Source organism: Homo sapiens, chromosome 11 (genome assembly GCF_000001405.40).
Source record: "Homo sapiens chromosome 11, GRCh38.p14 Primary Assembly".
NCBI classification, from domain to species: Eukaryota; Metazoa; Chordata; class Mammalia; order Primates; family Hominidae; genus Homo; species Homo sapiens.
Genome location: NC_000011.10, coordinates 67,724,493 through 67,741,228, shown reverse-complemented (window position 1 = coordinate 67,741,228; position 16,736 = coordinate 67,724,493). Strand labels below are relative to the sequence as shown.

The window sequence follows — 16,736 nt, the reverse complement described above, 5'->3', positions numbered from 1 at the left end:
AGACTGACACATAAGAATTGCTTGAACCCCGATGTGGAGGTTGCAGTGAGCCGAAATCATGCCACTGCACTCCAGCCTGGGCGACAGAGAAAGACTCTGTATCTAAAAAAAAAAAATTAAACACGGTATGATTCCACTTATCTATCAAGTGTCTAGAGTAGTTAGACTCCTAGAGTTGCAAACCAGAAAGGTGGCCCCCAGGGGTGGGCGAGAGAGAGGAGTGGAGAGCTTGGTGAATGGGTGCAATTTCCATTTTGAAAAATAAAACTGTTCCGGAGATGATGACGGTGATGGTTGCTAAACAATGTGAACGTACTTAATGTCATGAAACTGTAAACTGAAAAAGGGTGGAAATTGTAAATGTTTATACTGGCTATTCTATATGAACTAATATATATTTATAATTTTTAATATTTATACGTGGTATATTTTCCCATAATAAAAGATGAAAATTAAAGCAGTTGGATCTTTAAAAAGAAAAGAAAGAAGCGAATAATACACACCAGCTTTCTCCTGATTAGAAGAAGAGCCTCAAAGCTTCTATGGACAATCATTTTCTCTTCTTCTTCTTACATGATGATGAGGAAATCCTTAGAGGTTGGGGAATTTGGGTGACTTTGGCTAATGAGGAGCTCTGTGCCTTGAGCCCCCAGGCCACAGAACAGTAAATACTCAGTCTGTGCCTCCAGCCCTGCAGTGTGAGGTTGCAGTCCTGTGGGCTCCAGAGACATCACCTGTATCAGGAGGCTCATGTCTCACTCTGTCTTCTTGCCAGCCATGAGGATGGAGTCTGAGCATCCATCGTGCACCATGCAGGGAGGACAGTGGACCTATTCTCCGTGGTCATGGCCCAGCAGAGGGGAAGGGCAGTTCAGTGAGTGTAGGCAAAAGAAAGAGCGATCAGACTCTTACTGTGTCTATGTAGAAAGGAAAGACATAACAGACTCCATTTTGAGAAAGACCTGTACTTTCAACAATTGTTTTGCTGAGATGTTGTTAATGTGTAGTTTTGCCCCAGCCACTTTGACCCAACCTGAAGCTCACAAAAACATGTGTTGTATGAAATCAAGGTTTAAGGGATCTAGGGCTGTGCAGGACGTGCCTTGTTAAGATGTTTCCAAGCAGTATACTTGGTAAAAGTCATCGCCATTCTCTAGTCTCAATAAACCAGGGGCACAATACACTGTGGAAAGCCTCAGGGAGCTCTGCCCTTGAAAGCGGCGTATTGTCCAAGGTTTCTCCCCATGTGATAGTCTGAAAAGTGGCCTCGTGGGAGGAGAAAGACCTGACCGTCCACGAGCCTGACACCTGTAAAGGGTCTGTGCTGAGGTGGACTAGTCAAAGAGGAAAGCCTCTTGCAGTTGAGGGAGAGGAAGGCCGCTGTCTCCTGCCTGCCCCTGGGAACTGAATGTCTCGGTATAAAACCCGATTATACATTTGTTCAATTCTGAGATGGGGGAAAAACCGCCCTATGGTGGGAGGTGAGACATGTTTGCAGCAATGCTGCCTTGTTATTCTTTACTCCATTGAGATGTTTGGGTGGAGAGAAACATCAATCTGGCTTACATGCACGTCCAGTCATAGTACCTTCCCGTGAACTTCATTATGACATAGATTCTATTGCTCACATCTTCGTTGCTGACCTTCTCCTTATTATCACCCTGCCCTCCTACTACATTCCTTTTTGCTAAAATAATAAAAATAATCATCAATAAAAACTGAGGGAACTCAGAGGCCGGTGCCGGTGCAGATCCTTGGTATGCTGAGCGCTGGTCCCCTGGGCTCAATGTCGTTTCTCTATACTTTGTCTCTGTGTCTTATTTCTTTCCTCAGTCTCCCATCCCACCCGACTAGAAATACCCACAGGTGTGGAGGGCCAGGCCACCCCTTCAAGTGAGTGTTGAGGGACGGTCGGGAGCCTTGTTTGGTTTCCTCCTCCTCAGGACAAACAGGAGAATGTGGTGGGCAGATGGGAGGAGACCAATGTGCAAACTGTCCGCTCAGCAGACTGTGCAGTTTCTGTTCTTGGTTGTGCTGGGGGTCTCAGAAATCTTATTCAAAATTTTGCTTTCCTCCCCCACTGGTTGTCCTTTTCATAGACATCTCACCCATGATAGCAGGGAATCAGTCCATCTAAACTATTCCCTAAGAACAACAAAAAGATTATGAAGGTGATGATGAGGATAAAGAGGATGACAACAGACACCATGGCATCATGAACCCTTACTGAGGGCTTCCTAAAGGCCAGGCTCTGAGCTCTGTGCTCTATGCAGCTTGTTTCATTTCATCTGTGTAGTCTCCACCTTATTAGTGCACATTTCAGGATGATTTTACAGACTAGAAAAGGAGCAACGTCTTTTCATATAACTCGTACTCGATCGTGAAGTCAAAAAGGGTGAAGTCCAATTTGAACCAGGCAGCCTAAGTCCAGACACATGGCATTTGGCCAGTCCTCTCCCTGCAACCAACCTGCCCTCTCAAATCCTCGTCACTCAGGCGGATGCCCCTGCTCACTGTGCCCCTCCCTTTGGGGGTTCCTTGTAGACCACAGCTAGACCAGTTGGTGCCACAATCACTGTGTCAAGTATGGAAAGGGCAGCTGAGATCACATCGAGGATTCCAGAATGAATTGGCACAGCAATCATTCGGGATGCATCTCTCCCTTGCCCCTGTTCCTGGCTTTCCTTACAGCTCTCGGCTTCCTCAAAGGAGTCATCAATTCGGAGTTTGGTTTCCATTCCTATTGAGGAAGCTGGAAAGCGTTTCAAAAATGCTCCTCCAATGTGCCCGTGGTTAAGATCTCTGAGCTCTGCTTAAAACTTTTGGAAGCTGGGAGCGGCGGCTCACGCCTGTAATCCCAGCCCTTTGGGAGGCTGAGGCAGGCGAATCACAAGGTCAGGAATTCAGGACCAGCCTGGCCAACATGGTGAAACCACGTCTCTACTCAAAATAGAAAAAAATGAGCCAGGCGTAGTGGCGGGCGCCTGTCATCTCAGCTAATTGGCAGGCTGAGGCAGGAGAATAGCTTGAACCTGGGATGCAGAGGTTGCGGTGAGCCGAGATCACTCCATTGCACTCCAGCCTGGGCAACGGAACGAGACTCCGTCTCAAAACACCAAAAACAAAAACAAAAACCAAAAAAACCCACAACTTTTTGAGAGTTGGAAGACCAGGAAGTATAGTACCCGGGACTTCGAGTCTGGCCATGAATTTTGAATACCACCCTTTCTACTTCTCTGTATGGCAAGGGGTGAAATGTCCATCCTCTGAGACTCAGCACTCTCATCTGACTTGATTTCCAGTTCATCCGATGGAAGTGAGTGATGATTAAGCTGATCGTGGGCGCCCGCTGCGTGATCTCTAGGTGACGGATGCATAAATTAAAGGCAAAGGGAATTTTTGATACATTCCTTAAGATTTTCAGCTTCAACTCCACACAATTCAACGGAAATATCCCCTGACCTGAAGTTCTGGTTTCCCTGCATTCCAGACAGGACATTTTGTTTTGTCCTTCTATCAGTAAGTGCTGAGTACTGTGAGAGGAACAAGTGAGTCTCTTTGGTTTCTGATTCCCCAGAGCCTATATCTTTCTTGGCACATAGGAGACAGCAAAAGTCAAAATCTATGTTAATGGTTGAATTGACTCTTCCTTGCTTCATCAAAATTGGCTGTCATCAGCGTGACTTTGACTTACTTGATTCTTTTTGTGTTTTGAGACGGAGTTTTGCTCTCATTGCCCAGGCTGGCGTGCAGTGGTGTGATTTCAGCTCACTGTAGTCTCTGCCTCCCAGGTTCAAGCTATTCTCCTGCCACAGCCTCCCAAGTAGCTGGGACTACAGGCGCGCGCCGCCATACCGGGCGAAGTGTTTGTATTTTTAGTAGAGGCGGGGTTTCACCATGTTGGCCAGGATGGTCTTGATCTCCTGACCCCATGATCCGCCCTCCTCGGCCTCCCAAAGTGCTGGGATTACAGGCGTGAGCCACCGTGTCCGGCCAAACTTTCTGATGAAAACTCTAAGTCCACCTAAGCTAAGGACAGGAGTTAGAGCTTCCATGAATTTTAAAACAAGACCCACCGATTTGAGTAAGCAATTACTCTCTCGAAGGAGAAAAGTCCGAAAACACAATGATGAAATCACTAGGACCTAACTGGCATGTGGAACTATTTTCTTCTTAGGAACTATCAACTTTCATTTCATTTCCAGATGGCATGGTCTCAGCTGTTATACAGTGTTTACAAATGTTCTAAATCAAGGGAATTTGTATCCATCTAGTAGAATAAATAAAATATTTGAGTTCTTAATTTCCTTTAATTAGGATAACCTTTTTCTTAAAGTGAAGACAATGGTTTTATTACATCTTGTTCTTCGGAAAAGATAGGCTGTATTTCCTAGCAATTACGAATTTGTTATATGATGAGCTGGTTCTTGGAACGTTCTTGAAGCTAGTGTCTCTAAGGCAAGTGTGTACAGCAAGACGTGAATAACACAGCAATCGATGTTGAAAGCATTAAAAGGCAATTGAGCTTGTCAGAACTACAAAATATTGCTGAGTGTGGATTGCTCTGAAATCTGAAAACATTACTTGTGAATTGCTTATATCCAAAATGCAGACACAATGCTGGGTATTGGTTTACTTGTTTCTGATTTTTCAACCCTCTTTTCCAGGCAAAAGGTGTCCAAACTATACAGATCCACATAGTCTAACAGATGTCTCTATATTCCTCCTCCTCAAACTCTCAGAGGATCCAGAACTGCAGCCGGTCGTCGCTGGGCTGTTCCTGTCCATGTGCCTGGTCACAGTGCTGGGGAACCTGCTCATCATCCTGGCCGTCAGCCCTGACTCCCACCTCCACACCCCCATGTACTTCATCCTTTCCAACCTGCCCTTGCCTGACATCGGTTTCACCTCCACCACGGTCCCCAAGATGATTGTGGACATCCAGTCTCACAGCAGAGTCATCTCCTATGCAGGCTGCCTGACTCAGATGTCTCTCTTTGCCATTTTTGGAGGCATGGAAGAGAGACATGCTCCTGAGTGTGATGGCCTATGGCCGGTTTGTAGCCATCTGTCACCCTCTATATCGTTCAGCAATCTTGAACCCATGTTTCTGTGGCTTCCTAGATTTGTTGTCTTCGTTTTGTTTTGTTTTGTTTTTCTCAGTCTTTTAGACTCCCAGCTGCACAACTTGATTGCCTTACAAATGACCGGCTTCAAGGATGTGGAATTCCTAATTTCTTCTGGGAACCTTCTCAACTCCCCCATCTTGCATGTTGTGACACCTTCACCAGGAACATCAACCTGTATTTCCCTGCTGCCGTATTTGGTTTTCTTCCCATCTTGGGGACCTTTTCTCTTACTGTAAAATTGTTTCCTCCATTCTGAGGGTTTCATCATCAGGTGGGAAGTATAAACCTTCTCCACCTGTGGGTCTCACCTGCCAGTTGTTTGCTGATTTTGTGGAACAGGTGTTGGAGGGTACCTCGGTTCAGATGTGTCATCTTCCCCAAGAAAGAGTGCAGTGGCCTCAGTGATGTACACGGTGGTCACCCCCATGCTGAACCCCTTCATGTACAGCCTGAGAAACAGGGATATTAAAAGTGTCCTGCGGCGGCCGCACGGCAGCACAGTCTAATCTCAATATCTTCTTATCTGTTCCATTCCTTTTGTAGGGTGGGTTCAAAAAGGCAGCGAGGTCAAATAAGAATGATATCACAGGGTGAACACCCACTGTGACATTACGAGTAATACCTCCCTAGGATATAGAATATATTGTCACAGAGTAAACACACATGGGGTACACCCACTGTGATATTAGAAGCAATATCTCCCTATAAGTATGATGAAAAATATCACAGGGTGTGCACACTGTGTGATATGAGGAGTCATATTTACCCTGGATATCACGACTCATATCAAGGGTGTACACACACTGGGTACACGCACTGTGATATCAGGAGTTGCATCTCCCTAGGATATTATGAATAATATCACAGGGTATACACTATGTGTGAACATCCACCATGATATTTGAAGTCATATCTCTCTATGAGATTACAAATAATATCAAAGTGTGTACACCCCTGTGACATATTAGGAGTAACATCCTTCTAGGGTATTGCAGATAACATCACAAGGTGCACACCTTCTGTGACCTTTTGCGCACACTTTGTGCCATTCAAGGAAACATCCCCCTAGGATATTACGAATAATGACACAGGTGGTTGACACACATGGTGTACATCTCCTGTGCCATCAGGAGAATATTCCCCTAGGATATTACGAATAATATCACAGCAGGTGTACACATATGGGGTTCACCCCATGTGACATTAGGAGGAACATGCCCCTAGGATATTAGGAATAGTATCACAGGCGTTGAATACGCATGATATACGCCCCAGGTGACATTGAAAGTAACATCCCCCTAGGATATTACGAATAATATCACAGGGAGTACACCCCGTGTGACATTAGGAGTAACATCCGCCAAGGATATAACGAATAATATCAGGGGGCGTACATACATTGTGACCTTAGTGGTAACATCTCTTTAGGATATTACCAATCATATCACAGGGTGTCCACTGACCGTGATATTAGGAGTCCCATTTTCCTAGGATATTATGGATAATATCACAGGAGGTGTTCACACACAATGTGTACACCATGTGTGTATACCCAATGTGATATCTGAAGTCATATGTCCCTAGGATCTTACGAATATTATCAAAGGGTGTACACCCCATGTGACATTAAAAGTAACATCCCTTTTGGATATTCCGAATGTTATCACAGGGTGTGATATTAGGAGTGTGATATTAGGAGTAAGCTCTTCCTAGGATAACCCATGTGATATTAGGAGTAGCCCCTTCCTAGGATATTACGAATAACATCACAGGGTCTACACCCCTGTGACTTAAAAAGTAACACCCCCCTAGAATATTACAATAATATAACAGGGTGTACAACCCCTGTGACATTACGAGTAACATCTCCCTAGGATATTTCAAATGATGTCACTGGGGGCACACCCTCTGTGATATTAGCAGCAATATCTTTCTAGGAGATTACGTATGATGTCACAGGGTTTACACTCACTGTGAGATTAGAAGGAATATCTCCCTAGGATATAAGCTATCACATCACAGAGTGTACACACATGGTGTACACCCACTGTTTTATTAGAAACAGTATCTCCCTATGATATTATGAAAAATATCACAGGGTGTACCCTCTGTGGGATACTAGAAGTAATGTTTACAATGGATATTACAAATAATATCACAGGATGTACACACATGGGGTACACCCACTGTGATATTAGGAGTTATATCTCCCTAAGATATTACAAATAATATCCCAGTGGGTGTAGCCCATGTGTGTACACCCACTGTGATCATTAAAGTAATATCTCTCTATAAGATTACAAATAATATCGAAGGCTGTACACCCCCTGTGACATTAGGAGTAACATCCCCCTACAATATTGGGAGGAATATCACACGGTGTACACCCCTGTAACTTTAGGGGTATCTTCCCCCCAGAATATTACTAATAATATCACAAGGTGTACACACATTGTGACACCAGTAGTAATATCCAGCTAGCATATTTTCAATAATATCACAGAAGGAAGACACCTGTGACATTACGAGTGACATCCCCCTAGAATAGTAAGAATACTATCACAGGGTATACACCTCCTGTGATATTAGGAGAATCATCTCACCAGAATATTACAAATAATGTCACAGTGTGTTATCTTCTGTGACATTAGGAGTATAGACCCCTGGGAAATTATGAATACTATCACAGGGTGTACACCCCTGTGACATTAGGAGTAACATCCTTCTACAATATCATGAATAATATCACAATGTGTACACCCCCTGTGTCATTAACAGTACAATTGCCCTGGGATATTATGAAATAGAACACAGGGACTACACGCCGTGTGACATTAGAAGTCACATCCCCCGAGGATATAAGGAATAATATCAGAGAATGTACATGCATTGGGACATCAGTAGTCACATCTCTTTAGGATAATACGAACAATATCAAAGGGTGTACACGCATTGTGAAATTAGTAGTGAACTCCCGCTGGGATATTACGAATTTTATGACAGGGTCTACACGCCCTGTGACATTAGTAGTCACGTTTTCCTAGAATAAGATGAAGAATATTAAAGGGGGTACAGGACCTGTGATTTACGAGTAACATTTCTATAGAAGATTACACGTAATATCACTATGTGTACACCCCGTGTGACGTTAGCAGTCACATCAAACAAAATTATAACGAATAATTTCACAAGGTGTGCAACATCTGTGACATTAAAAGAAACATTTCCCTAGAATATGACGATAATATCACAGAGTGTACACCCTCACTGATATGAGGAGTGACATCTTATAAGGGTAATACGAGTAATTTGAAAAGGTGTACAAACCCTGTGACATAAGGAGTGACATGCCTCCAGGATATTCCGAATCATACCAAAGGGAAAATACTCCGTGTGACAATAAAATCAACTTCCCCTTAGGAGATTAAGAATAATAGCACAAGCTGTACACATATTGTGGCATTATTATCAACGTACCGCTAGGGTATTGCGAATAATATCAGAGTGTGTAGAGACTTGTGAAATAAGGACTCACATTTCGCGCCAATACCACGAATAATATCACAGGGTGTATAACCCCTGGGACTTAAACAGTGACACCATCCTAGAATATGGAAAATAATGTCCCAGGGTGTTAAGTAAGTGTGACAGTAGAGAAAACAAAATAGGAGAAAGGGAGTAATATCAGCCCCTCTCCCCACTGGATGTTACCAGCCACATCGCAGGTGGGTGAGAGCGCCCCCCGCGATGCGGGGAGTAACAGCAACCGCCTCTCCCCACTGGATATTACGATCCAAATCACAGGGGGGTGAGGGCGCCCCGCGCGATGCGGGAACTAATAGCACCCGCCTCTCCTCCCCGGATGTTACGATCCAAATCGAAGGGGGGCGAGGCGCCCCCCGCGATGCTGGGACTAATAGCACCCGCCTCTCCTCCCCGGATATTACGATCCAAATCGCAGTGGGGCGAGGCGCCCCCCGCGATGCGGGGACTAATAGCACCCACCTCTCCTCCCCGGATATTACGATCCAAATCGCAGGGGGGCGAGGCGCCCCCCGCGATGCGGGGACTAATAGCACCCGCCTCTCCAGCCCCTCTTGCCCCCCTGGCTCTTAGGACCCCCATCGCAGGGGGGCGCCGCGCCCCCCCACACGATGCGGGGACTAAAGAGCCAGCCCCTCTTGCCCCCCTGGCTCTTAGGACCCGCGGTGGACTCACAGCATTTTTATCATATTGTGAGTAATATCATCTCCGCCTCTGAAGATTATGAACTGTTTCACAGACCGGTGTACACCCTGGGTGTACAGAGGTTGTACCCCCGTCTGTATTGGGAGTAATATCATCCTCTTCCTCTCTGAATATTTGGAACAGTATCACAGGGGTATTTCTACGCCCTGGGATATCGGGTGTCAGGTCCTCCTCTCCCAGATTGCAATTACAAACAATATCAGTTGGGGGCGTGTCCACCTTCTGTAATATTGAAAGTAGTATTATCCTCTTCCCTCCAGGATCATGGGAACAATATCCTTGGTGGTTTCCTCTTTCTGCCATATATGTAGTCATATCACCCCCTCCGCCTTGGAATATTTTTAAGGACCATCTCACACGGGGGTGTACACTTCCTGCGATGTTGGGAGTAATAGCATTCTCTTCTTCCGTGAATATTAGGAGCAAAATCACCAGGTGGATGCACACCCAGTGCTATATTGGGAGTAACGTCATACTCCACCCCCTGGAGATTATATTCGGATCAATATCACCGGCTGGGTGTACACCTACTGCGATATTGAACGTAATATCATGCTCTCTCCCTCCCTGGACATTAGGAGCAATATCACATGTTGGTGTACACCCACTGAGGTGTTAGGGCGTAATATTAGTATGAATTATTCCTCATTTATTATTAACATGAATATGAATGACCGATATTAATATTCATATTAAGAAATAATTGCTAATAAAATGTTTTCCCATTATTAATATTAATATTACTTATTAGGAGCTAATATGACTGTTTTCTAATTAATAAGGTCAGTATCAGTTATTAATATCAGGTGTCATTAATCATTAATATTAATCATGTATTGTTATCATTAGTATAACTATTTAATATTAATTATCATTATTATCGGTATTGATTTTTAAAATTATATTATGGGTTATTAATATTGATAATTACTAGTGTCAATTAATAATGGAGATTATTAATTGCAGTAAGTCACATTGTGTCATTCCACTCCTCCCTCGGCAGCTCGTTTACCAACCAAAACGGGGACACAAATGCCCCTGAGAGAGCAGCGGTATACTGGGATAGATGAGGATGGTCACGTGGTGGAGAAGCGTGTTTTTGGGTACAAGCCCTTCACCTGCGTCGACCTTCTCAACTGGAAAAACAGTACACCGCCCTATACTGAAAAGCCACAAGCCCTAATTGATTTGCTCCAAGCTCTTATCCAGACCCACAACCCCACCTGTGCTGATTGGCACCAGTTGCTCCTGTTCCTCTTTAACAGCGAAGAAAGGCGGAGAGTCCGCCAAGCAGCAGCTAAGTGGCTAGAGGAACATGCACCAGCTGATTATCAAAACCCCCAAGAGTATGGAAGGACCCAGTTGCCAGGAACCGACCCCCAGTTGGACCCACATGAAAGAGAGGATATGCAAAGGCTAAAGCGAGACAGGGAAGCTCTCCTGGAAGGATTAATGAGGGGAGCTCAGAAGGCCACAAATGTTAACAAGCTCTCTGAGGTCATTCAGGGAAAAGAAGAAAGTCCAGCACAATTCTACCAGAGACTGTGTGAGGCCTATCGTATGTATACTCCCTTTGATCCCGATAGCCCTGAAAATCAGTGCATGATTCACATGGCTTTAGTCCATCAAAGCGCAGAAGACATGAGAAGAAAACTGCAGAAACAGGCTGGGCTTGCAGGGATGAATCCATCACAATTACTAGAAATAGCTAGCCAGGTGTTTGTAAACAGGGATGCAGTAAGCCCTAAGGAAAACGGCAAAGAGAATGGAGGTCAGGCCCGGTGACACGCCAACCTGTTTGTCAGCTGCAGCAATCAGAGGGGCCCCCGCAAAGAGGCAAGGGAAGGGGGGCCCTGGGAAAGAAACTCAGCTTGGCTGTCAGAGTTTGCAGCGTAACCAGTGTGCTGATTGTAAAGAAATAGGACAGTGGAAGAACAAATGCCCTGAGCTCAAAAGAAAACAAGGTGACTCAGAGCAGGAGGCCCTGGACAAGGAGGAAGGGGCCCTGCTCAACCTGGCAGAAGGGTTCTTGGACTGAGGGAGACCCGGCTCAAGCGTCCCCAAAGAGCCTCTGCTCAGAATGACAGTCGGGGGTGGAGACATTGACTTTCTTGTAGATAGCGGTGCTGAACATTCGCTAGTAACTGCCCCGGTCGCCCCCTTATTCAAAAAGACTATTGACGTCATCGGAGCCACGGGGGTTTCAGCAAAGCTAGCTTTCTGCTTGTCTCGGACTTGTACTGTAGGAGGACATAAAGTCATTCATCAGTTTTGGTACATACCTGACTGTCCCTTGACCTTTTTGGGAAGGGACTTGCTCAGCAAGCTGAGAGCCACTAACTCTTTGACAGAGCATGGATCTTTGCTGCTAAAGTTACCCAGAACTGGAGTCATTATGACCCTTATGGTCCCTCGAGAGGAGGAATGGAGACTTTTCTTAACTGAGCCGGGCCAAGAGAGAAGACCAGCTCTGGCTAAGCGGTGGCCAAGAGTAGGGGCAGAAGACAACCCTCCAGGATTGGCCAGTTAAGACTGGGGCCCAGCCGGTGAGGCAAAAACAGGACCTGGTCCCCAGAGAAGCCCTTCAAGGTATCCAGGTCCATCTCAAGCACCTAAGAACTTTGGGAATTATTGTTCCTTGTCAGTCTCCATGGAACACTCCCCTCCTGCCTGTTCCAAAGCCACGGACCAAGGACTACCGGCAGGTAAAGGATTTGCACTTGCTTCATCAAGCTACACTGACTTTACATCCAGCAGTACCTAAGCCGTCCACATTGTTGGGGTTGCTGCCAGCTGAGGACAGCAGGTTCACCTGCTTGGACCTGAAAGACGCTTTCTTTCCTATCAGATTAGCCCCTGAGAGGCAGAAGCTGTTTGCCTTTCAGTGGGAAGATCCGGAGTCAGGTTTCACTACTCAGTACACTTGGACTGGTCTTCCCCAAGGGTTCAAGAACTCCCCCACCATCTTCGGGGAGGCGTGGGCTCGAGACCTCCAGAAGTTTCCCAGGAGAGACCTAGGCTGCGTGTTGCTCCAGTAGGTTGATGACCTTCTGCTGGGACACCCCACGGCAGTCGGGTGTACCAAGGGAACCGATTCCCTACACTGGCACCTGGAGGACTGTGGGTAGAAGGTATCCAAGAAGAAAGCTCAGATCTGCCGACAGCAGGTACATTTCTTGGGATTTACTATCAGACAGGGGTCGGAACGCAGCCCGGGATCAGAAAGAAAGCAGGTCATTTGCAATCTAGCGGAGCCTAAGAGCAGAAGGCAGGAGAGAATTCTTAGGAGCTGTGGGGTTTTGTAGACTGTGGATCCCAAACTTTGCAGTATTAGCCAAGCCTTTGTGTGAGGTCACCAAGGGGGCGGGGACCAGGAACCTTTGGAATGTGGATCCCAACAACAGCAAGTCTTTCATGAGTTAAAGGAAAAACTTCTGGCAGCCCCAGCCCTGGGGCTACCCGATATGACAAAGCCTTTTCCATTGTATGCATCAGAGAGAGAAAAGATGGCAGCTGGACTTTGAACCCAAACTGTGGGGCCCTGGCTGAGGCCAGTGGCCTACCTCTCTCAACAACTAGACGGGGTTTCTAAAGGATGGCTCCCCTGTTGGAGGGCCTTGGCAGCAACTGCCCTGCTAGTACAAGAAGCAAATAAGCTGACTCTTGGGCAAAACCTGAACATAAAGGCCTCCCATGCTGTGGTGACTTTAATGAATACTAAAGGACATCATTGGCTAATGAATGCCACACTCACCAAGTACCAAGCTTTATTCTGTGAAAATCCCCGTATAACCATTGAAGTTTGTAACAGCCTACACCCCGCCACCTTGCTCCCAGTATCAGAGAGCCCTGTCGAGCCTGATGGTGTAGAAGTGTTGGACGCAATTGACTCTAGCAGACCTGACCTCTGGGGCCAGCCTTGGGCATCAGTAGACTGGGAACTATACGTGGATGGGAGCAGCTTCTTCAACTCCCAAGGAGAGAGAGGTGCAGGGTATGCAGTGATAACCCTGGACACTGTTGCTGAAGCCAGATCGTTGCCCCAGGCCACCTCAGCCCAGAAAGCTGAACTCATTGCTTTCATTCGGGCCTTAGAACTCAGTGAGGGTGAGACTGTCAACATTTACACTGATTCTCAGTATGTCTTTAACCCTTCAAGTGCATGGACCATGATAGAAAGAAAAGGGCCTATTGAACTCCGGGGGAAAAGACAGAAAATATCAACAGGAAATCTTGCAATGATTAGAAGCAGTATGGAAACCCCGCAAGGTGGCAGTTATGCATTGCAGAGGACACCAGCGAGCTTCCACCTTGCTGGGTTTGGGGAATTCCCGCACTGACTCAGAGGCTCCAAAAGCAGCATCTTCCCCCTTCTGGGCATCAGGGCTCCCTCAGGCACCTGATCTTGGACCTACTTCTTCTAAAGAAGAAAAGGACTTTCTCCAGGTAGAGGGAGGACAAGTGATGGAGGAAGGATGGATTCGGTTACCAGATGGGAGAGTAGCTGTGCCACAGCTGCCAGGAGCTGCAGTTGTACTGGCTGTGCAAGAAACCACCCATCGAGGTCAGGAGTCACTGGAAAAGTTGTTAGGCCGGTATTTCTACATCTCACCTTTGTCAGCCCTTGCCAAAACGGTGAGGCAGCGGTGTGTTACCTGCCGACAGCATGATGCGAGGCTAGGTCCAGCTGTTCCGCCCGGCATATGAGCTTATGGAGCAGCCCCCTTTGAAGATCTCCAGGTGGACTTCACAGAGATGCCAAAGTGTGGAGGTAACAAGTATTTACTAGTTCTTGTGTGTACCCACTCTGGGTGGGTGGAGGCCTATCCAACATGAACTGAGAAAGCTCGTGAAGTAACCCCTGTGCTTCTTCGAGATCTGATTCCTAGATTTCGACCGCCCTTACGGACCGGCTCAGAAAATGGGCCTGGGTTTTTGGCTGCCTTGGTAGAGAAGACGGCAAAGGTATTGGGGATCACACGGAAACTGCATGCCGCCTCCCGGCCTCAGAGTTCCGGAAAGGTGGAGCGGATGAATCGGACTATCAAAAATAGTACTATTGTCTTCCCCACTGGATATTTAAAACAACACCACAAGGGGGATCAAGACACCTGCTAAATTTGAGGGAATATTATCCTCTCCCCTCCTCCCCCAGCCCCGGATATTAGAGACAATAACACAGGGGTGATGTACACCCACTGCTTTATTGGGAGTAATATCATCCTCTCCCTTCCTGAATATTAGGAACAATATCACACTGTGCGTGTACGCCTGTGGTGAAATTCAATGGAATGTCATCCTGTGCCTCCCTGGATATGACGAACAATATCACGGGGAATGTACAACTTCTGAGATATTGGGAGTGATATCATCCTCTCCCCTCTGGAAGTTAGGGACAATATCACAGGGGTAGTGTACACCCTCTGGGATGTTGGGACTAATATCATCCTCCCGCCCACTGGATATTAAAAACCATATCACAAGGGGCGTGTACACACACTTCGATATTGGTATGATATCCATCCTCTCCCTCTTTGGATATTCGGTGCCATATTTCAGGTGGGGAATACACCACCTGCAATATTGGAAGTAACATGATTTTCTCCCCCCCTGGATATCAGAAACAATATCACAGGGGGTTGTGAACAACCCCTGCAATATTTGGAGTAATATCATCATCTCCCCTCACGATTATTAAGAACAATATCGTAGGGGTGGGGGATGTACACCCCCTTTCATATTTTATATCATCCTCTTTCCCCCTGGATATTAGGAACAATATAAGGAACAGATGTACAGACCCTGCAACCGTTGCTGTCATATAATGGTCTCTCCCCTAGATATTAGGAAAAAAATGTCACTGGGGATGTGAACAGCCCTGCGATATTGAGAGTAGTATCATCCTCTCCCCCTTGCATATTGGGAACAACATCACAGGTGGGGTGTACTGCCTGTGTGATATTGGGAGTGAAATTTTCCTCTCTTCCCCTGGATATTAAGAAGGGCATCAGAGGGGGAGGGTGCACATTCCCTGCGATATTCAACGTAACCTTATCCTCTCCCTCCCAGGGTATTCAGAACAATATTACAGGAGGGGTGTGCACCCCCTGCGATATTGAGAGTTATATCATCCTCTTTCGCTCTGGATGTTAGGAACAATATCACAGGGTTGTGTACCCCCCCTGCGATATTGGTAGTCATATCATCCTCTCTCCCTGTGGATATTAGGAAGAGGATCACAGGGCTGTGTAAACCCCCTGCGGTACTGGGAGTAATATCATCCTCTCTCCCTCTGAAAATAGGAAGATTTTCACAGGGGTGTGTACACCCCCTGCGATATTGGGAGTAAGATCATCCTCTCCACCCAGGAAATGACTAACGAGGTCACAGGGGGTGTACTCCCCCTGCGATATTGGGAGTAATGTCGTCCTCCCCAAACCTGGATGTTAGCAACGAGATCACAGAGGGGGTGTAGACACCCTGCGAGATTGGAAGTAATATGATCCTCTCCCCACCTGGACACTGGGAAAGATACCACAGTGCGGGTATACGTTTGCTACGCTGTTGGGAGAAATATCATTCTTTTCCTTTCTGGATATTAGGAAGAATATCACAGGGGTGCTGTACAATTACTTCGACATTGGGAGTAATATCATCCTCTATTTTCCTGGATATTGGGCACAAAAACACAAAAGGGTGTACAACCCCTGCGATATTGGGAGTAATAGCATACTCTCCTTCCCTGGATGTTAGAAAACAATATCATCAGGGCTGAACACCCCCCGCGATAATGGGAGTCATGTTTACTCTTTCACAGGCCATTTGGAACAATATCACAGGGGGTGTCTACAAACAGGGGTGGTGTACACCCCCTGTGATATTGGGAGTAACATCATTCTCTCCACCTCCGGATATTAAGAAAAATATACCGGCGGGAGGTAGTACACCCCCAGTGATATTGCGAATAATGTCATCCTCTCCTTCCCTGGATATTAGGAACAATATCACAGGGGGTGTACACCTTCTGTGATATTGGAAGCAATATCATCCTCTCCCCCACTAGATATTAGAAAAAAATATCACTCACGGTGTACAGCCACTGTGATATGAGGAGTAATATCTTCCTAGGGTATTATGAGTAATTTTACAGTCTGTACACACATGGTGTACACTCACTGTGATATTAGGAGGAATATCTACCTAGTAGATAACAAATAACATCGCAGGGTGTACACCCAGTTTGATATTAGCTGTAATATTTTTCTAAGTTGTTACAAATAAGATCACAGGGTGTACAAACATGGTGTACACTCACTGTGATATCAGGAGTCGTATCTCTGTAATATATTATGAATAATA

At 46.1% G+C, this 16,736-nt stretch overlaps 1 pseudogene, besides 1 other annotated feature; it reads left to right on the top strand.

Moving 5' to 3' along the window:
* On the top strand, positions 4,888 to 5,551 carry OR7E11P (olfactory receptor family 7 subfamily E member 11 pseudogene; annotated as a pseudogene).
* Positions 11,937 to 12,567: an enhancer, noted in NCBI's record as "H3K27ac hESC enhancer chr11:67496133-67496763 (GRCh37/hg19 assembly coordinates)". NCBI's record gives its function as "activates a minimal SCP1, AML or CMV promoter by ChIP-STARR-seq in primed H9 embryonic stem cells {active_cell/tissue: H9 hESC(primed)}" and the evidence as "EXISTENCE:reporter gene assay evidence [ECO:0000049][PMID:30033119]".